At 48.9% G+C, this 21,220-nt stretch overlaps 1 protein-coding gene and 1 long non-coding RNA gene across 2 annotated transcripts in view, besides 4 other annotated features; one reads left to right on the top strand and one right to left on the bottom strand.

Annotated features, from left to right (window-relative positions):
- Positions 1,541 to 1,835: an enhancer, noted in NCBI's record as "tiled region #6351; HepG2 Activating DNase unmatched - State 10:DNaseD, and K562 Activating DNase unmatched - State 9:DNaseU". NCBI's record gives its function as "activates a minimal TATA promoter and a strong SV40 promoter by Sharpr-MPRA in HepG2 and K562 cells {active_cell/tissue: HepG2 | K562}" and the evidence as "EXISTENCE:reporter gene assay evidence [ECO:0000049][PMID:27701403]".
- Positions 1,541 to 1,923: a biological region, named in NCBI's record as "Sharpr-MPRA regulatory region 6351".
- Positions 1,804 to 1,923: an enhancer, noted in NCBI's record as "active region_9283". NCBI's record gives its function as "activates an Ori minimal core promoter by ATAC-STARR-seq in GM12878 lymphoblastoid cells {active_cell/tissue: GM12878}" and the evidence as "EXISTENCE:reporter gene assay evidence [ECO:0000049][PMID:35858748]".
- On the top strand, positions 5,857 to 12,799 carry LOC105370790 (uncharacterized). The gene is made up of 3 exons (XR_932169.3): positions 5,857 to 5,996; positions 7,547 to 7,731; positions 12,735 to 12,799. It is a non-coding gene; the product is annotated as an uncharacterized LOC105370790 (long non-coding RNA).
- Positions 8,503 to 8,552: an enhancer, noted in NCBI's record as "active region_9282". NCBI's record gives its function as "activates an Ori minimal core promoter by ATAC-STARR-seq in GM12878 lymphoblastoid cells {active_cell/tissue: GM12878}" and the evidence as "EXISTENCE:reporter gene assay evidence [ECO:0000049][PMID:35858748]".
- RTF1 (RTF1 homolog, Paf1/RNA polymerase II complex component) overlaps positions 8,663 to 21,220 on the bottom strand; it is a 66,469-nt gene continuing 53,911 nt past the window's right edge. Inside the window, exons 8-18 of the mRNA NM_015138.5 lie at positions 20,877 to 21,054; positions 17,524 to 17,606; positions 16,614 to 16,701; positions 16,407 to 16,514; positions 15,703 to 15,780; positions 14,940 to 15,061; positions 14,711 to 14,768; positions 13,601 to 13,678; positions 13,028 to 13,123; positions 11,901 to 12,012; positions 8,663 to 11,645 (exon numbers count right to left, since the gene is read on the bottom strand). Coding sequence (NP_055953.3) covers positions 11,539 to 11,645; positions 11,901 to 12,012; positions 13,028 to 13,123; positions 13,601 to 13,678; positions 14,711 to 14,768; positions 14,940 to 15,061; positions 15,703 to 15,780; positions 16,407 to 16,514; positions 16,614 to 16,701; positions 17,524 to 17,606; positions 20,877 to 21,054 — 1,108 coding nt within the window. The 3' untranslated portion in view covers positions 8,663 to 11,538. The remainder of the gene's footprint in view (positions 11,646 to 11,900; positions 12,013 to 13,027; positions 13,124 to 13,600; positions 13,679 to 14,710; positions 14,769 to 14,939; positions 15,062 to 15,702; positions 15,781 to 16,406; positions 16,515 to 16,613; positions 16,702 to 17,523; positions 17,607 to 20,876; positions 21,055 to 21,220) is intronic.

The following is a 21,220-nucleotide window of genomic DNA, read 5'->3' as shown; positions in this document are numbered from 1 at the left end:
TGGTCCCAGCTACTTAGGAGGCTGAGGTGAGAGGATTATTTGAGCCCAGGAGGTCGAGGCTGCAGAGAGCCATGACATTCCACTGCACTGCAGTCTGGGTGACAAGTCATACGCTATCTCAAAATAAACAAATAGGTGAAGATCCTGGAGAACTGAGGAAGGAAGCAAAATAATGTAAGAAAGAATGGCAATGAGAGAGGCAGGAGAAATAGAGGGAATGAAGGGGTAAGAGGAAGAAGGGCATAGAGGAGTTTGAATACTTGACTACTTCACGGAGAACCTGGGAAATCACATCGCCACCTTCTCTAGGACAACCATCTGGAGGAATCTTGAGTATGTGTGTGAGGGATGTACTCTGCAGCTTGAAGGACCTGGATCACTCGTGTCTCAGACACTCACTCCTCTGCCTCCTTCACAGCTACACTGACCTGCGTCAGGATGTGGGAAGGTGCTGCCCTCAGAGACGGGGCTGGGAGGAAACCCAAGGTGGGGAGAGCCTGCAAGGAACTGCCAGAACTGGAAAGGTAGGGAGGGCAATGAGGGGCGAGAACTTGTCCTGCACTCCTGTCTGTCAGGCGATGGATGGGCAGGGTTGGAGGTATAAGCAGGTTGGGCACTGGGTCTCTGTCCTGGCTGCCAAGAAAAAGGGGCAATTCCTTTTCTTCTTGTATCAGGCACTTGCTCAAGCCTTAGGTCTACTATACCAGCAGCCAGAGAATTGCTCTTTGCTCTACCTGCCCAGGTGTCTCTCATTGGAAAGATGAGCGCAAACCTGGAAATGGATGCTGAACTGAAATCCAATCCCATAGATTCTTAGAGCAGTAAGGGGCCTTATATCCATCTATCCTCCTCATTCACATTACGGAAGTACCAAAGAGGTTAAGTGGCTCCACCAGGGAGGTTAAGGACACACAGCCAGTTGATGGAAAAGGCAGTGTATCCTGGCTAGGTCCCCTGACTTCCTGCGTGCTTGTCGCCCAGGCTCGAGTGCAATGGCGTGATCTCGGCTCACTGCAACCTCTGCTTCCTGGCTTCAAGAGCCTCAGCCTGCTTCTCTAGCCTCAGCCTCCTGAGTAGCTGAGATTACAGGTGCTCGCCACCAGGCCTGGCTAGTTTTTGTATTTTTAGTAGAGACGGGGTTTCACCATGTTGGCCAGGCTGGTCTCAAACTCCTGACCTCAGGTGATCCGCCCACCCAGGCCTCCCAAAGCGCTGGGATTATGGCCATGAGCCACCTCGCTCATGTTCTCAAATTCTTTCATTAACATCTTGTATTTCCTGGCCGGGTGCAATGGCTCACACCTGTAATCCCAGCACTTTGGGAGGCTGAGGTGGGTGGATCACCTGAGGACAGGAGTTCGAGACCAGCCTGGCCAACGTGGTGAAATCCCGTCTCTACTAAAATACAAAGATTAGCTGGGCATGGTGGAGGGCACCTGTAATGCCAGATACTTGGGTAGCCGAGGCAGGAGAATCACTTGAACCCAGGAGGCAGAGGTTGCAGTGAGCCTAGGCGACAGTGCCAGACTCCATCTCAAAACAAAGAAACATCTTGTAGTTCCTTCTGAAGGTAGAGTCTGCCCCCACCTACTACAGTCAGAAAACATAAGGGTACGTCTTGGGGCAAGGCCTGGGAGTCCCTGTATAGCTGTAGGATGAGGTCAGCAGGCTCTTCCGTCCTCTTAGTCATGCCAGGAATAAACGTTGAAACCCTAGAACATCTGTTCTTTTATGACTCATTTTTCTCAGTCTTTGATGCTTGAGTAGAAGGGATGTGGAAAAAATCAGACTGACTAGTATGGAGGTGGAAGGGATGGCCTCTTGAGTGCCACAAAAAAAAAAAATGGTGGGGATGTTCAAACACTTAAGCATTAAGCAGGCCAGATAAAATTTTTTTTTTTTTTTTTGAGAGTCTTGCTCTGTCACCCAGGATGAAGTGCAGTGGCACCACCTCAGCTCACTGCAACCTCCACCTGCTGGCACAAGCGATTTTCCTGCCTCAGCCTCCCATGTAGCTGGGATTACAGGTGTGTGCCACCACGCCTGGCTAATTTTTTGTATTTTTAGTAGAGACAGGGCTTCACTACATTAATGGGCCAGGCTGGTCTCGAACTCCTGACCTCAGGTGATCTGCCTGCCTCAGCCTCCCAAGGTGCTCGGATTACAGGTGTGAGCCACTGCGCCTGACCGCCAGAGACAGTTTTTAAAAAATTAAACAACAGAAAAGGGGGACACTGGGGTGTAGAGGAATGTGTCAAGGTTGTTTTTTGTTTGTTTTTGGGTTTTTTTTTTTTTTTTTAGACAAAGTCTCACTCACTCTGTCACCCAGGCTAGAGTGTGCCATCATGGCTCACTGCAGCCTCCACCTCCTGGGCTCAAGGGATCCTCCTGCCCCAGCCTCCTGAGTAGGTGGGACCACAGGCACACACTACCATGCTCAACTAATTTTAAAAACTTTTTGTAGAGATGGAGTCTCCCTATGTTGGCCAAGTCTTGAACTCTAGCCTCAAACAGTCTTCTTCCTTCAGCTTCCCAAAATGCTGGGATTACAGGCATGAGCCATTGCACCCCGCCAGTGTGTCAAGGTTTTGATGGTCATTAGGTGGCTGTTCTGAGATAGGCCATGAGAGTCTCTCTGCCTTGGCCACAAGGCCAGCTTACATGTCTGAGCAGATAACCTTTTTTCTTTTCCTTTATTTATTTATTTATTTTTGAGACAGGGTCTCACTCGGTCACCCAGGCTGGAGTGCAGAGTCACAATCACAGCTCACTTCGGTCTCAACTTCCTGGGCCTAAGTGATCCTCCTGCCTTAGCCTCTCGAGTAGCCGGGACCACAGGCAGAGGCATGTGTCACCATGCCCAGCCAATTTTTAAATTTTTTGTAGAGACAGGGATCTCACTCTGTTGTCCCGGCTGGTCTTGAATTCCTGGGCTCAAGCAATCCTCCTGCTTTGGCCTACCAAAGTGCTAGAATTATAGGTGTGAGCCACTGTGCCCAGCCAGAACCTATCTTCTTGTGGTATCTCAGTTGGTTGATCCTCCTGTTCCCTACAGGTCTGCTTTTTTTTTTTTGAGGCAGAGTCTCGCTCTGTTGCCAAGGCTGTAGTGCATTGGTGTGATCTCAGCTCACTGCAACCTCTGCTTCCTGGGTTCAGGAAATTTCCTGTGTCAGCTTTTGAGTAGCTGGGATTACAGGCACCTGCCACCATGCCCAGCTGATTTTTATATTTTTAATAGAGATGAGATTTCTCCATGTTGTCCAGGCTGGTCTTGAACTCCTGACCTCAGGTGATCTGCCCACCTTGGCCTCCCTAAATGCTGGGATTATAGGCATGAGCCACTGCGCCTGGCCTGAGGTCTGCTTCTTGAAGTGCCTGAGTCTTCACCCCCATCAAAGACCTTCAGGGGTGGGCCCAGTGACTGGTACCTGTAATCCTAGCACTTTGGGTGGCCCAGGCAAGAGGATCACTTGAACCTAGGAATTTGAGGCCAGCCTGAGCAACATGCTGAAAACCCATCTCTACAAAAAATAAGAAAATTAGCCAAGCATGGTGACACATGCCTGTGGTCCAAGGTATTCAGGAGGAAGAGGTGGGAGGATCACCTGAGCCCAGGGAGGTTGAGGCTGCAGTCAGCCGTGATGAAGCCATTGCCCTCCAGCCTGGGCAACAGATTGAGAGACCCCGTCTCAAAAAAAAAAAAAAAAAAAAAAAATTTCAGGATTTATCATGACTGAGGGCTGCATCTCTTCTAGAGAAACATCACCCTCAGGTACAAAACTAGGGAAGAAAAAAGGGCCTGGAAAATGGGATGTGTGATGTGAGGGGTTTCTGGGGTCCTCACCCCAGCCTGCCTCATAGCTGTGCCCACCTCTACCCCATCCCCAGGGCAGCACCAGTGGCAGGAGCAAAATCACCACTCATCACCCTCTGCCAGGCACAGTGCTGGTTTCTGCTTCCTAAGATGACAAGCAGGGCCTTTCACCTTGGGGAGAGAAGGGAAGGCACAGCCTTTGACCTGTGCTCCTGAATGGAGCATCTGTTCCTTTGAGGAGACTTCAAGTCTTCTCCAGCAGGAGCAGAGCCTCTCTAGTGTGTGTGTGGTATGTGTCATTGTGGCATGTGTGGTGTGTGTGGGGGGTTATGTTTGTGGTGTATATGGCATGTATGTGTGGCGCACGTGTGGTATGTGTGTGTTGTGTGTTGCATGTGGTGTGTGTGTGGTGTGTGGTATGTGGTGTGGGTGTGGTGTGAGTGTGGCATGTGTGGTGGGTGTGGTGTGTGGTAGGTGTGGGTGTGAGTGTGGTGTGTGTGGTGTGTGAGTGTGTGTAGTGTGTGTGTGGTGGGTGTGGTGTGTGAGTGTGGTGTGTGTAGTGTGTGTGGGGTGTGTGTGTGTGGTAGGAGTGGGGAGGTGAGAGGGGGTTGGGCTGTCATGTTCCACTGGACCCGGTGGTGCAAGGTCTTATTCTAGTAACAACTCCCAGACATGCACTGTGGGACTTGGTGCCCTTCCAAGGGACTTTATGACCCTAAGACCCCACTATTCTGTGACAATACCTGTGATTCACTCATGCATTCACAGAGCAGACACACTTCCATGGAGCAGCTGCTATTGTGCTAGGTGCAAAGGACACAGGAATGCGTGGATCCTGTGATGCCCCCGCCCGTTTCCGGGAGTGATAGTGTATCATTTTCATTGTCTTACCGAGGAAGGAAACCAGAAAGGGCCCAAGAAGAAAACAGGCCCTGGGACGCTCAGTGGCTGCCTTCCCTCCCTTTCCAAGAGGTTGTCAATGTGCGCGCTGGGAATTTTGGTTTCTCAGCTGCTTCCTGCATCCAAAACATTCCTCACCTCTGGTGGGTTCGATGTCCTTCTCCGTCAGGGCCTACCAGAGAGGGTGCTGGAGGGCTGGCCAGAGCCCAGTGGACACGTGAGAATGGGAGAGAGGTGAGGGTCTCCTTTCTCTTGGAAAGAGGCGTGAATGGGTCTTCACCTGACAGGCGAGCCCTCAGCTCCCAGCCCCAGCCTCTTTTCCTGGCCTCTAGGTTTCCCTTCCTTCCCGGCAATCTCTGACCTCATAAATGGATTGACTAGACGTTGTGGGAATATCCAGGGATGGGTGCAAGGTTACCTCAGCAGGGCTCAGGATCTAGCAGTGTTCATTGACCCTCCACAGTCTGAGTCACTCTTGTCTAAAACGAACAAAATGTGTCACCACACCTGTGTGTGCGCAGTAAGAACATATTCTCTCCTTACACTTCAGAAACAAGGTTTCCGATCCCACTCAGGAGCCTGTGTTCCTGTGATCCTCCTTCTTCTCCAGAACTCAGAACCCTCAGAACCTCACCCAGTGCGAGGGGAGGTGAAGGGGACAGGAAGGGTCTGAGGTCAGGGACTCAGCTTGTGGAGGCGACCACTGTAGGAATGCCTGGGACGTCGTCGGGGGTCCCTGCATCGTGTAGTCATGGTGGCGTGTGATGGGGGGAGGCGGGGGTTAGGAGGCGCCTCCTAATTCCATCTGTGAGCTCTGCGCCTGCAGGCGTGACCTCCACACCTCGGGTGTGCCTGGGGACCGAGTCCACAGAGCATGCAGTGGCCCGGGGTCTGGGACCGTAGTGCCCATGCGTCTCCGCGTGGGCCGCGTGCGAGCCGGGGTCCAGCTCAACTCCCAAGGCGCGCGCCCCGGGGGATCCACGGCTGGAGACGCATGCAGGCCCCGGGCCACTGGGACCCTGGCTCTGAGGCTGCGGGCCCGGAGTGGGGAACGAGGGCAGAGCGCCCTGGAACGCAGCGGCCGCGCGCCTCCTCCCTTGCTGCGTGGACTGGGCGCTAACGGCGCAGGAGGCGCACGGGGCCAGGGATGCGGGGACCGTTGGCGCGGACAAGGGTGGCGCCCAGGCCGGTGCGGGGGGTGGTGGAGACACCAAGCGGGGAGCGCCGAAGGGCTCTCCCGGCAAAACTGATGGAGTCAACCTGAGGCTTCCGGGCTTGCCAGGTGAAGGGCTGTGCTGCATCGCACGCGCTTAGCGAAGCAGGGCTATCCATGGCTAAAAGAGAAAAAGAAATCAAAAGTATTCGATTAAAAAAAAAAATAGAGGCCGGGCGTGGTGGCTCACGCCTGTAATCCCAGCACTTTGGGAGGCCGAGGCGGGAGGATCACAAGGTCAGGAGTTCAAGACCAGCCTGGCCAACATGGTAAAACCTCACCTCTACTAAAAATACGAAAATTGGCCAGGAATGGTGGCACATGCCTGTAATCCCAGGTACTTGGGAAGCTGAGGCAGTAGAATTGCATGGACTTGAGAGGTGGAAGTTGCAGTGAGCCGAGATTGCGCCACTGCACTCCAGCCTGGGCAACAGAGCGAGGCTCCACCTCAAAAAAAAAAAAAAAGAAAGAAAGAAAAAGAAAAAAAGAAATGGAGTCTCGCTATGTTGACCAGGTTGGTCTCGAACTCCTGGCCCCAAGCGATCCTCCCTCCTCGGCCTTTTAAAGTGCTGGGATTACAGGCAGGAGCCATGGTGCAGGGCCCAAAAGTATCTATCTTTTGAAGAAGTATCAAGGTAATCATCATGGGAAGGGTCAGAGCTTTGTTGTGCTTCTTTTACACTTACCTTCTGGTTTGGTACTATTGGTGCTATTTTGAGTATTCACTACTCTTGGGGGTTGTGGGTAGGTCGGGCCTCAGTTGGGGCCAGCTGGAGGGTGGTAAGGTGGCAAGCCTTCAACGCCTTCAGAAGCCTGGTCAGTAAAGGTGGTGTGCGTTGGCCTGTGGGGAATGACAGCAACGAGGGCCTGGCCCAGAGGCAGCACACTTTCTCTGGACGCATCCCTAGGCCAGCCCAGGGTCTCCCAGTGGGAGCCTCCATCTGGAGTCAGGGTTTCTTCCCCCCCTCCCAACCCCAGCCCAAGTGGAGTTTCTGGTCCTGCCCACTGCCCAGTGCTTCCGCCCTCCATCAGCCCACTCCAAGGGCCGTTCCTCTCCTCCAGGGTCCAGCGGCTTCACTCTCATTAACAACAGCATTTATTGGACCCCTACTGGGGACAGGTTGTTTTTTGAAAGGTGGAAAACTTGTGGCTCAAAGGTGTTAAGTAGCTCAGCCCTAGGTAATAGCAAGTGGCAGAGCGGGGATCTGAACCCTTTCCCGAGCCTGGGTGCCTTTTGGCTCTTGGCCCTCCCTTGTATCCTGAGCATGGTCTGGAAGCCCTAGACATGCCTATCTATGCTCCAGTGCCTAAAAGCCGTATCTCCATGTTCCCTGGGGCTGGCCTGTGGAACCTTAGAGAAGGCATGCCTTTTGGCCCTGTCTTAGCACTGCCATTCCCTTCAGCTCCTTAACACCCTCCTTGCCAAGGGAGCTCAGCAGTCTCCGCTTAAGTCAGGGAAATCGTGAAAAAAATTTGAGCTGGGAGTTGATGGCTTCCTAAGGCTGCTGGATCACAGCCACATTATAGTTACTGAAGGAAGATCTCCCTTCTGGAAAAACGTGGCCAGGGAGATGAAGTTGACCAACCCAGCACCCTTCTTCTCTCCACTTGCACCCCAGGTGTTCTTTCTGGATTCTCAGAGATAGGTAGCAAGTGGCTGCCCCACAGCACCCAAATCCTGGAAGATAAGCAAGCTATGTTGTCATCTGCCCAGAACCCCTGCTCTCTAGGTCCCACTGCTCCCACCAGTTAGGTAGTGGGAGTGCTGGGGAGTTGGAGAAAACCTCATTGGACGCACTTGCAGGTAAGCAACCTCTCCACCACCAGAAGCGGTCTTGGACGTGGCTCTTATCACTGTGATTGCCATCCCTTGCCTTCTTAAAGGGTGTGGAAGATCCAGGATCTTCTTGCTTCCTAGCTAAAATGTGTTCAGAAAGGTTGGAGACACAGCCTCAGGCACTGGGGATGGGGAGGCCTATAGACCTCCCCAGCATGAGGGGTGCGTGGATGAAGGAAGATCAGTGTTTCCTCCATAGCCACACTCATGGCCCTTGGGCACCCCCTTCAAACTCATGATAGCCAGAAAAAAGAAGAGCAAAGAAACTGTGCCTAGGCCAATTTAAAGTTGAAAGGAGCTGAGCACAGTGGCTCATGCCTGCAATCCCAGCATTTTGGGAGGCTGAGGCGGGAGGATCACTCGAGGCCAGGAGTTCAAGACCAGCCTGGGCAACATAGCAATATTCCGTCTCAACAGAAAATTTAAAAATTAGCTGGGTGTGATGGTGCATGACTGTAGTCCCAGCTACTTGGAATGGTGAGGTGGGAGGATCACTTGAGCCCGGGAGGTTGAGGCTGCAGTGAGCTGTGATTACACCACCGCACTCCAGCCTAGACAGCAGAGACCCCAGCTAAAAAAAAAAAGGTTGAAAGGCCCAGATTCTCACTAGGGTTAGGCAGTACATCAGGGGTCTACTTAGCTCTGTTAAAACTTATTGGTCTCTTACCAAGACAGGAAGTAAACCAGGACAACTGGAGGTTTCCTTGGGTCTAGGCAACTACCCTACCAGAGAGGCTTCCGGGGAACCAGGCTGCTAAAGAGTTGACGATGGCCACTTTCACTTTTGTGGGCACAGGGCTAAGAGAAGAAGGAAAAGGAGCAAGAGAGGTTCTCTTGGACTTTCAAAACATGGCTTTAGGAGTTGCCACTCAGGATGCAATCCTTAGACTCAATCTGATCCCTTTGTTAAAATGGCATAACATTTATTTACAATATTGGTACAGTTTGAGTGGCAAGTCAGGACTTCACAAAAGCAAAAACATTCTTTTTGAAGGGAGTGGCAGGCAGTAGACTTTCCCTACACCTGCCAGAAGCAAGACAGACAAACAGACCTATAAACATTATGAACTAGGCAGATGGACACTGGCCTTTTTGCTTCTTGGAAGGAACTGAAAAAATGCATAAAAACAACCTTGGGTGCTGCACCCTTCAACACTGAAACCACACTGTGGAGGGAGGAGGGGCCCAATGAGGGAATTCCCCAGCACAAGAAATAGTGTGAACCACCAAGAAATCCTAGTTGGTAGGACAAAGCCAGTGTCTTAATGCCTGACCAAGATCTTGGTTCAGAGGCACTGCCTCAGCTGAGATTGGAGACAAGTCCTTAGTCTTGGTCCCAATCACTACAGAGGCTACTCGGGTGGAAAGATACCCTTCGGTCTTCTTTGGTTGGCTTTTCTCCCTGCTGTGTGCATTGGCATCTCGTGGGGGTTTCAGCGGCTACATGTGGGGAGGTGGTGGCAAAGTGGCTACAGTGTGATGCAGTTTTAATAAAAATTTTATTACACAGCCATAATGTAATCAACACTTCTCCAAATCCAAATGATACTAAATACAGATCTACATGGTGGATCAGAATGACTCCAGCGAATTATCTGGATTCTATAATTTTATGTTTTTTAAAACCAGAAATCAAAAAAAAAAGTCCAAGTTCATCATGATAGGAGAGGTCCCAGCAGCTCCAGGACTCTGCTGAAGTCCAGGCAATGTTAACAGTCTGTGATTCCACATTTACACAATAGTCTATAAAGAGTTTCGGTCAATGGACTATTCAAGTATATATGATTTTAACGAGTCCATCACCACTCCTTTGCCCAAGTGAACTGTGTCACAGCTACCACAAAGCTGTGTTACAGTCATATTTAGCAATTTTACAATCATAATACTCCTTTAAAACCATCCATTGCTGCTTTAAAAATAAAAAAAAAGTAAACTAAGTTAAAGCGACACTGAGGCTCTACTAAACCCAGAAGTTACCAAGTTCATTTTTATGTTTAAATACAACTTACAAGTCCATGATTTCCCATCGTCCCCCTTCCTTGTACGAAAGCAGGGTGAGGAAGTACAAAGCAGAGCTTTTAGATTAGTCTCTCGTGGAGATCGGAGCTCTCAGCTGTTCCTTTAGCTTAGCTCTTGGTATATATAGTCAGCTGTACTTTGTTCTGAAAGATTTGTTAAATGCCACTTTTATTTACACTTGGAGCTTTACACCTGAGAGTGATTATCAAGCAGTCAGTTTATCTCTTTTCAAACATTTCATAAAGACATACACACACCTCTGCTGGCTTCGCCCTAGCTGCACAATATATATGCTGACCATATATATGTATACACACACACAAAACTGCACATGCTTGAAACATTTGCAACCTAAATCTTTTTGAGGCGGAGTCTCACTCTGTCACCCAGACTGGAGTGCAGTGGCACGATCTTGGCTCACCACAACCTCCGCCTCCCAGGTTCAAGGGATTCTCCTGTCTCAGCCCCCCGAGTAGCTGGGATTACAGGCACGCACCACCATGCCCGGCTAAGTTTTGTAGTTTTAGTAGAGATGGGGTTTCACCGTGTTAGTCAGATTGGTCTTGAACTCCTGACCTCAGGTGATCCACCCGCCTAGGCCTCCCAAAGTGCTGGGATTACAGGCGTGAGCTACTGCACCCGGCGTAACCTAAATCTTTTTGTGTTTGCTCTCCACATTCATATTCAGAAATTTCTCTTAAAAACAAAATGTAGTTCTTGCCAAAGCAGCAAAACAGAATCACCAGGAAGAGGCTGGTATACTGGGTGAGAAAAAGAAGTTCTACGTTCAGCCAAGAAGCTGTGGGCTGTACCCATGGGAAGAGCAAGACATTCACTGCCCTCCCTGGTACCTGGCCATGGGCTTCCCTCCCACACCTGCCAGGACACAGCCTGCAGGTCAGGGGGCTAAACTGGGGAGTTTTCTCCAAAGTTGGGAAAGGATGGGAAGAGTAGGTGGGAATGGGGAAGTTACACAGCTACAGCAGTCAGGCCTGTTTAGTAAGAAGAATCACATTTAATGAGTTTCTTTCTTGCAGTTTCAGATGCTCAAGTACAGCTGAAAAAAATCTGAAACAGCTATAGACCCATGACAGACTGATACAAAGAGTACTGCATTTTAAAAAAATGATAAAAAAATCCACACACTTACACACACACACATACACACTCTCGCTCTCAAATTAGACCCCCCCCCCCCACAAATGTACACTTTTTGGAAACTAAACTGGTTTTGAAACCCCTTCTTCCAAAAAGAAGGGCAGAAGAGAAAGATGAAGAGAGGAAAGAGGATCGCAGGTGCCCAATCCCCGCTCCCCCCACAAGGTCACGTGCCGAATGTTCAATGGGTGGGCCAAGGCAGTCTGTAGAGGAGACCGCCTGGTGCTGCTGCTATTGCCCCAGGGGCTCCAGCAAGATTCCCAGCTCCATGGTAATACTGAATGCGTGCAGAGTGGCCAATGAACTGCGCGGTTAAAAAAACAAAAGGCAAACACAAATCTAAAGACATGGATAAAGCCCAAGAGAGCCCAGGCCCACACTGGGTGGGGCCCTGGGGGAGGGGAGGCTGGTGGGAGATGGTGTGCAGACAAAGGAGGTCTATACAGCAAATGGTTTATATTACAGATGACTGGCAGTTTAGAGTCTCTTCCCAGTTCAACAGCTGCTCCAGCCCAAAGAGGCTAAATCAAAGGAAAGGAGGAAAGGTGGGACGCTGCGATGGGGCATGCAGGGTCAGAAGCAGCAGGCTGGGTGTGCTCAAATAAGCCCTCGTCGTTTTTTGTAGTCTTCCAAGTTCAGAGATCTCCTTGGAGCCCCATCCTTGGCTGGCGGAGCCTTGGAGGTGATGGCTAAAGCCTTTGACTCTGTGGGAAAGAAGAGCAAGTTGGCAGCTGAGGTCCCACAAAGTCCTCTTAGTCCTGTGCTACACTCCTGCAGGCAGCCTCCTGACTGTGGCCCTGTTCCCTCTCACCATACCCACAGCCTGTCTTGGCCTGGCCTGTGGATGCTGATGAGCCAGCATTCCCCTTTCTTCCCTAAAAGTGGGCTTCCTTGTTGCCCCAGAAAACCATGGATCCATCTGGTTCTCAGCCCTCACCACCCGCCCCACCCTCACATACCTGAGCTGGGAACTTGTAAGTCAATCTTCACATCAAAATCGTGTACTTTGAACAGATCTTCTGAGAGGTCACTGGCTGACTTAGAATTCAAATCTTTATCTTTGCCTTGACCCTGGAATGTGAAGAGGAAAGCTAATGGTAAGAGCATAAATGCAAGTGGATTTCAAGCAGCAGCAGCCACTAACGGTACGAAGCTCTTATTTGAGTTCATTAGATTTTCCTACTAAGGCCCCTTTCTGATTCCTTCTCTCAGAGGGAGGCCACAGACAAAGAGCTTTCTCTCCTGAAGGCTACAAGCACAGAGAAGAGGGCAGGCTTGTGTCTGTGGTATGAGTGTAGAAAGGGTGGGCTTAAGCAACGGGTCACTTCCTGACCTAAGATTTCAGAAATCCTGAGACCAGTTAGACTACAACAGGAAAAGACTTAACTTGGACAGAAAACTGCTTTTTTTTTTTTTTTTTGAGGTGGGAGTCTCACTCTTGTCACCTAGGCTGGAGTACAACGGTGCAATCTTGGCTCACTGCAACCTCCCCCTCCCAGGTTCACGCGATTTTCCTGCCTCAGCCTCCTCAGTAGCTGGAGTTATCGGAACCCGCCACCATGCCCAGCTATTTTTTTTCTATTTTTAGTAGAGACGGGGTTCTACCATGTTGGCCAGGCTGGTCTCGAACTCCTGACCTCAGGTGATCCGCCCACCTCCGCCTCCCAAAGTGCTGGGATTACAGGCATGAGCCACTGCGCCCAGCAAGAAAACTGCTTTTAAATGTGCCATTTTCAACAAGCTTTCACTTTTACAATGTCTGATCTTTGTATGTTATCTCTCCTCCTGTGAAGCTGGCAGGGTATACAGTAGTACCCTCATTTTACACAGCAGAAAAGGGGATGCTGAGGGCTGGAAGCCAGCTGCTGAAGGACATAGTCAAGGCCCTAGGCAAGTAGTGGTGTCAGGTTTGGAATTAAGGTTGTCTGTTGATTATATCTGTAAATAACTGGGATGGAGAAGGGACTCCAAGAGGGACTCCCTGTTCCTCAAGGTGGAAAAATCAAGCCCAAACTAGACAAGGTACTTGTTCGGTATCTCAGCCAGCAGCCTCACTCAGCAGGCAACAGGGTGGTACCACACTTGCCTTGCTCATTTCCTTTGGAGCATCTGGTAACACTCCAGAACCGTATTTTGCATTCAGCTGGGCCAAGATGGCAGCTTGAACAGCTGGGTCTCTGGACTGAGAGAGAAAATAAGTTGTTTTAGAGATTGCTTGACACTCACAGAGTCCTACTGCCAGATTCTTTCCCACCTACCAAACTAACATCACAAGCACCACAGCCGACCCATCAGCAGCTAGTGGGGTTTTCCTCAAAGCAGCAAAAAAAAAAAAAAAAAAGGCAATTACAAGCTTGAAAGCCAAGCCCAGCCCAGCCAGGCCCTAGCTAAGGGACACATTACTAATGTCTGCTGCACTGTAAACCCACCCTGATACAGGAGGATCAGTCACTAGGTTTTTATAAATCCATGCCACGTTTTCACTACCGATATGTCCTATAGCAAGATAAAAAAGGAAGTATCCAGACCCAAGAGCTTCAGACAAGCAAATCCCAGCTAAGAAAACATTATTTTTAACTTCATTATTAATTTCCTAATGGAATTCATTTTGTGTCCTAGAATCTAGGTCCTGACTAAAATGTCCTCTTTCAGCACTCACATTAGAAACGATGGTAGGCTTGCACTGCCGCCGAGTAAAGGGATCCATCTGTTGGTTTTTCATGTTGTGACTTTCAGCCTGAAACAGAAAGCATGCACCACAGAACTGCACCTCCAGCCCCTCCTCTCATTCACCATAAGCTCACAGGCAAATAAGTCTTTGCACGGGACTGAAAAAAAAAAAAGCTATTATCCTTTTCCTTTTTTTTTTTTTTTAATTTTTTTTGAGATGGAGTCTCGCCCTGTCGCCTAGGCTGAAGTGCAGTGACGCAATCTCAGCTCATTGCATCTGCTGCCTCTCAGGTTCAAGTGATTCTCCTGCCTCAGCCTCTCCAGCAGCTGGGACTATAGGTGCAAGCCACCAAACCCAGCTAATTTTTGTATTTTTAGTAGAGACAGGGTTTCGCCATGTTGGCCAGGCTGCTCTCAAACTCCTGACCTCAGGTGATCCACCCACCTCAGCCTCCCAAAGTGCTGGGATTACAGGCGTGAGCCACCATGCCCGGCTAATTTTTTTTATTTTTTAAATGGATTCTCGCTCTCTTGCCCAGGCTAAAGTGCAGTGGCACGACAGCTCACTGCAATCTCCACATCCCAGGTTCAAGTGATTCTCGTGCCTCAGCCTCCCAAGTAGCTGGGATTACAGGCGTGCACCACCATGTCCGGCTCATTTTTGTATTTTTAGGAGAGACAGGGTTTTGTCATGCTGGCCAGGCTGGTTTCAAACTCCTGACCCCAGGTGATCCACCCGCCTCGGCCTCCCAAAGTGCTGGGATTACAGGCGTGAGACACCGCGCCCGGCATATTATCCTTTTCCCTTCAAGAATACCAGAGTAGATATGGGGGAAACAACCAAGAAACAGAAATTGAGAAAAAACAAATACCTGTGGAGTAGAATCTAAGGGTGGGAAGAGGTAGGACAGGGCAGAAGACTGCTGCTTTTCATTATGAATAAATTATATCGATGTACGTGGACATACAGAGAGAGTGTGTATACGTTAAGTGCCTACGTTATTTCAATAATTAAAAAATAAACTTAGGCAAGATGTAGAAAAGATGTCATGGTTTATTAATTAACTTTGTTTTAGTGATTCAGATAAAGTTTTCTTACCACAAGGGCCTTCTCAGACTCTACAATGTTCCACTCCCGGTTCCGCTGGTTGATGTAACTGTGGGGTAAGAGGGATGAGTCAGTGGCTGTGAAACAAGGGAGGGAGGGAACCACTGAGCCCTGAACTCAGATATCTATGGGGTCAGTGCAGCACAGAGTGTACAGGCCACAGGCTTGCCTGATAATTTTGGCCAAGGTCTGCGGGCCAAAAATAGGCTCCATAACACACCTGATAGCGGATATGTTCTTGGTCCGCTGGCGGTCCAGGGCCTCTGCCCGTTCCTCCAGCTCATTCAGTTGATCTTGGATTTGTTTGGCCTTGTCCTGATCCCCCAGGTCCTCAGCCATGGCCTACACATAGAGAGATGTGTGAGTTCGTTCTTGGCTACATACAACTGACTCCATATCAAGTATCCCCTTACTTCCAGCACAGGCAAAGATATCTCATGTGGTGAGCAAAGGACAGGAGATGTGGAAGAATACTGTAGAAGTACTTTACAAATACAAGATATAATTTATATTATAGTAGTGCACAGTACAGTGGGGAACACCTTCCCATACAGCTACCTGGCTGTGGGTCCCTGGTGGCAGTAGAACCCCAGGCCTCACAGGGTGGCTAAACCACCATAACAAGGCCCACCCCAACCCAGTGTGAAGAATGGAAAATCACCAGCCACAGGTGGCCTTGACAGTGTCATCTGTCTGTTCAGACTCAGTGTTAAATACCACCCCAGGGTCTATTTTATTACAAAGGAAACTGAAGTGACTAGAAAGTAAGAAGACTGGCACACACGCAGAAGATGAGTTTGAATTTAGGGAATGGAAAATGGCCAAGGAACGTTGCCCAGGTGCCAAGAACACACTGTGTTGCTTATAATCGAGCCCAGAATTTTCTCCCAATCCTACCACCACTAACTTGGCAGAGGATGAACAAGTTTGATTTCCACATCTCCTTACAGGATGAGGAAAGAGGCTCGAGTACAACTCCTTACCTTTTCCTTCAGTAGCTGAGTCTTCTTCATAGCGTAGTTGGGTGGAGCTTTTCTGAACCTTTCTTTCTCTTTTACAATCTGTACCAGAGAGGAGATACCAGCAGTGAGGTATTCCTAAGCTATTTTTGTAGACAGGCTAAGTGAGCCCATTTTGGATGCAAACAGCTAGTTACAAAGGGGCTGCTCTTCCTACAGCAGTGTCATGCCCCAGAGAGAGAGAGAGCGGGTTCATTCCAAGGGATACTATGCTGCTTCCTGGGTCACGGAGATTCTTCTGGGACAGGCTGAAGGAACATGCACCAAGAAACAGCAGCCCAAGGGCCTGGTAGTGTAAGGCTAGCCACTGTCCAAGAGAACAGAGATCAAATAATTTTACCAAGATGTTTTAGAAAAGGAAAACTCTTGAAGGATCAAGCCTAGCAGAATACAGACCCCTGAACCCTAAATACACTTTAGTGTATGTAGCCTCATTTGTTGTCTCATCTGAACTCTGAATACACTTCAGTCTATGTTAGCCTCATCCGGACATGAGAATGTATAGAAAAAAGCTTGATGAACTATAAATAATCAGGTAGTAATATTAGTATTCCCTCATTTTCATGCATAGCTAAAAATGTCAAGATATAGGGAAATAAAAGAGAATCATGTTCTCTCAACACTGGTTCTTGATGAACCTCCGGGTTCTGGGGCACCAGTTTTCTTACCTCTTCAATGTCCTGATCATTGAATTTATAATTAAGAGCTTCTTTAATAGATAATTCCTTTTTATTGATTTCATCTAGAGTGGGCAACTGCATGCCAGCAGAGAACATCTGGATCAAAAACACGATACGAGATTATTAGTAAGGGATTTTGGAAAGATATTTTCTCAACGTGCACGAACAACTGCTAGGTAATCTCTAGCCACGTACCGCTTCTTTCCACTTCATAAACTCACTTTCGGTGAATTCTTGGTTTGAGACAAACTCTAAACGGAACACGCGTTGGTCATTGCCATGCCTACATAAAAGAGAGACAGCATCTCCAAGAAATGTGCATGTTGACTGTAGTACAAGCAAAGCAACCTTACCAGACTATGTACCACCTATATATACCTATTGCAGTGGTTCTCAATCCTAGCTACCCTATAAAATCATCCCAGGCTGTTTTAATGAGCTGCCAAGATTGAGATCCCAAAGCTAGCACTGGAAACCAAATGGGCTTGGTCAGTGCTTCAAAAGTCAATTTACAATAAAATCCATTACAGTCAACATCAACAATATGCAACAGAGCCTGGGACAGGGTTACATGCCTGTGGTCACAGCTCCTCAGGAGACTGAGGTGGGAGGATCACCTGAGCCCAGGAGTTCCAAGCTGCAGTGCACTATGATGGCACCTAGAGCAGTGCCTGGCACACTGTACATTCGGTAAATATTTGCTGAGTGAATGACACTTTCATTTTACTGAAGAGGAAATGAAGTCCATAAAAATGATCTTTCTTGTCACAGATGAGGTTATGACATAGAGCCAGAACCAGAAGCAAGCCTCTTGGACATGCTTGCCAAGGAAATGCCAGCGAGGCTCTGGGAGGGTCTCTCATAACCACACATTTCCTTTCTCTGTGTCCTACCCCTTCATATATTTGGTTCCCTCTAGAGGAGAGAATATCCTACCTTCCCTATAGACAAAGATGGAATACAAGTCTCCCTCCAAGTGTACCTTGTGGGGATTGCATACATAGCGTTCATGGTAACAAGGAACATCACACAGAGAGAACAGCAGCCCCCAAAGCCAGTGCCTGTTTGAAGTGGAAGCAGAAGCTACCCCAGAAGTGCCTCCTACCGTAGTTGCAGCCCTTTGTTTGTTCTGGTGCCACCTAGTTGGTAAACTTTGGCAGTTTCCACAACACCCGTAATCTCAGCGACCTAAGTGAGAGGACAGAGACGCCAGTCAAAACCAGACTCTTCCGGAGCTTTCCACAACACTCTTCCTTTGCGTCTCTCTACCTGAACGCAGACAACTGATAGAGTGCTGAGTAGAGTCCACAGCTGCCAGGGGTTCTGAGAAAGGTTTCTCAGGTTTAGAATCCAGATGGCCAAGCACAGGGAGCCTTGTGCCCAGGAGGAGAAAGTGCCAGCAGAAGAGGAGCCCGATGGGGCCCACTGGAAGCTTTTCCTCCAACTAATTCTAACTTACAAGGGATGTATTTGGGATTTCACCAGTTGATTTTTATCAACCAAATGTGAAGACCATGTAGGTCAGTTTCTGTTGCCAAGCATTTCAGGATATGGCATGGCTGCAGGTCCTCATACAAGGGGATAACACACATAAAAACCAGACAAGAATAAAACAAAACAAAAACAATCCAGGCTGGGCGCCGAGGTTCAGGCCTGTAATTCCAGCACTTTGGGAGGCTGAGGTAGGAGGATTACTTGAAGCCAGGAATTTGAGACCAACCTCAGCAACACAGAGAGACCCAGTCTCTCTTTTTTTTTGTTTTTTGTTTTTGAGACAAAGTCTTGCTCTGTCGCCCAGGCTGGAGTGCAATGGCATGATTTTGGCTCACTGCAACCTCTGCCTCCCTGGTTCAAGTGATTCTCCTGCCTCAGCCGCCCAAGTAGCCGGGACTACAGGCACATGCCACCACGCCAAGCTAATTTTTTGTATTTTTAGTAGAGAGGGGTTTCACCATGTTAGCCAGGATGGTCTCGATCTCCTGACCTCGTGATCCACCTGCCTCCCAAAGTACTGGGATTACAGGCGTGAGCCACTGCGCCCAGCCGAGACCCAGTCTCTACAAAAAAGAAAAAAAAAATTAGTTGGGCATAGTGGTGTGCACCTACAGTCCTAGCTACTCAAGAGGCTGTTGTAGGAGGATCGTTTGAGTCCAGGAGTTCAAGGTTGCAATGAGCTCTGATCACACCGCTGCATGCTAGCCTGGGCAACAGGGCGAGATCCTATCTCAAACAGGCTGGGCACAGTGTCTCATACCTGCAAACCTAGCACTTTCGAAAACCGAGGCAGGAAGATGGCTTGAGTCCAGGAGTTCCGGATTAGCCTGGGCAACATGGTTAAGACACTGTCTCAAAAAAAAAAAAAAAACCCAACACCTGGGCCGGGCGTGGTGGCTCACACCTGTAATCCCAGCATTTTGGGAGGCCAAGGAAGGCAGATCACGAAGTCAGGAGATCGAGACCATCCTGGCTAACAAGGTGAAACCCCGTCTCTACTAAAAATACAAAAAATTAGCTGGCATGGTGGTGGGCGCCTGTAGTCCCAGCTACTCGGGAGGCTGAGGCAGGAGAATGGCGTGAACCCAGGAGTGGGAGCTTGCAGTAAGCCAAGATCGCGCCACTGCACTCCAGCCTGGATGACAGGGCGAGACTCCGTCTCAAAAAAACAAAACAAAACAAAACAAAAAACCAACACCAAGCACTTTAGGAGGCTGAGGCCAGAACATCACTTGAGGCCCGGAGTTTGAGACCAGCATAAGAAACAGAGAGAGGCTGTTGCTACAAAAATTTTTTTTTAAATCCCAAAGTGAGGCCGGGTGCGGTGGCTCACGCCTGTAATCCCAGCACTTTGGGAGGCCGAGGCGGGCGGATCACGAGGTTAGGAGATCAAGACCATCCTGGCTAACACGGTGAAACCCCATCTCCACTAAAAATACAAAAAATTAACCAGGCGTGGTTGCGGGCGCCTGTAGTCCCAGCTACTGGGGAGGCTGAGACAGGAGAATGGCGTGAACCTGGGAGCCAGAGTTTGCAGTGAGCCGAGATCGTGCCACTGAACTCCAGCCTGGGCCACATAGCGAGACTCCGTCTAAAAAAAAAAAAAAAGAGACTCAGTCTAAAAAAAAATCAGCCAGGCGTGGTGGCGCATGCCTGTAGTCCCAGCTACTTGGAGGCTGAGGCATGAGAATCGCTTGAACCCAGGAGGCAGAGGCTGCAGTGAGCCAAGAGCGTGCCACTGCACTCCAGCCTGGGCAACGGGGTAAGACTCTGTCTCCAAAAATAAAAAACAAAAAATTAAAAATAAGGCCGGGCTCAGTGGCTCATGTCAATAATCCCAGCACTTTGGGAGGCCGAGACAGGTGGATCACCTGAGGTCAGGAGTTCAAGACCAGCCTGGCCAACATGGTGAAACCCCATCTCTACTAAAAATACAAACAGTAGCCAGGCACGGTGGCGGGTGCCTGTAACACTAGCTACTCGGGAGGCTGAGGCAGGGGAATTACTTGAACCCAGGAGGCGGAGGTTGCAGTGAGCCAAGATCGTGCCATTGCACTCCAGCCTGGGCGACAAAAGCGAAACTCTGTCTGAAAAAAAAAAACAACAAATAAATAAAAATAAAAATAGGCCAGGTGCGGTGGCTCACGCCAGCACTTTGGGAGGCTGAGGCAGGTGGATCACAAGGTCAAGAGTTCAAGACCAGCCTCGCCAACATGGTGAAACCCCGTCTCTACTAAAAATACAAAAATTAGCCAGGTGTGGTGGCATGCGCCTGTAGTCCCAGCTACTTGGGAGGCTGAGGCGGGAGAATCACTTGAACCCGGGAGGCGGAGGTTGCAGTGAGCCAAGACCACGCCATTGCACTCCAGCCTGGGTGACAGAATGAGACTCCGTCTCAAAAAATAAAAATAAAAAAATAATAATAATGGTAAAATAAAATATAAATAAATAAATAAATAAATCCCAAAGTGTTGGGATTACAGGAGTAAGCCACTGTGCCCAGTCCACCTAGACCACAGAAGCAGTGCTGGAACCTACATAATAACCTGTATTAGTCTGGAGGGTTTTTTTTAACCTCAATACAATTCCCTGGTGTAGAAGTCACTTGGTATGCAACATGAAACTTTTCATTCATTGGTTTTTCAAATGAACAAATCTTTTAGATTATGTAACTCCCAATGAACACTTCATAGATGCCTCCCTTCTCCCTTTTATACTGAAGGGAGAATAGAGAAAATTATTCTACATCCAAATCTTCCAGGCCCTTGGGCTCCAAGTCCTCCTCTTGGCAACAAGTCATGAAGGATTCCTGGGCACCTCACTGCTCTATGGGGATCCCACTTGGAGTCTACTTTCCATCAAATGCTGAGAGAAGAGTGATCGATTTTTTCAGTAGCTCCTGCCCTCAGTTGAGACTAATTATACTGAAAGCATGGACAATTGTCCAAGGGAAGAAATACCAACCCGGTAAACTGGTTTGCTGTTGTGGTTTCCGATGCCAATCCGCACAAAACATCCTGTGACAGTTTTAGCAAAGAAGGGCATGTGACACCAGCGTTCTAGCTTATGCCGTGATAATCGAACCCGATTCAATTCTTCAGGTAAGGAAACTGGTTGGGATTTGGGAGGGATCTCTTCTTTCCTAAGAGGAACAAAGGGGCACTGGAAAAAATGTTCATCATAAAAACAGAACAAGACAGAAAAATAATATCAACTCCTCAAAACTTAACCAAAGTACATGTGACTGGCCTAGGAGGAGAAGTAAATGAAGCACCAGCAAAGACTTGTAATAGGATCCTGTTCCTGAC

Source organism: Homo sapiens, chromosome 15 (genome assembly GCF_000001405.40).
Source record: "Homo sapiens chromosome 15, GRCh38.p14 Primary Assembly".
Taxonomy (NCBI): domain Eukaryota; kingdom Metazoa; phylum Chordata; class Mammalia; order Primates; family Hominidae; genus Homo; species Homo sapiens.
Note: the sequence above shows the minus strand (reverse complement) of the source record. Positions and strands in the feature narration are given on the sequence as shown.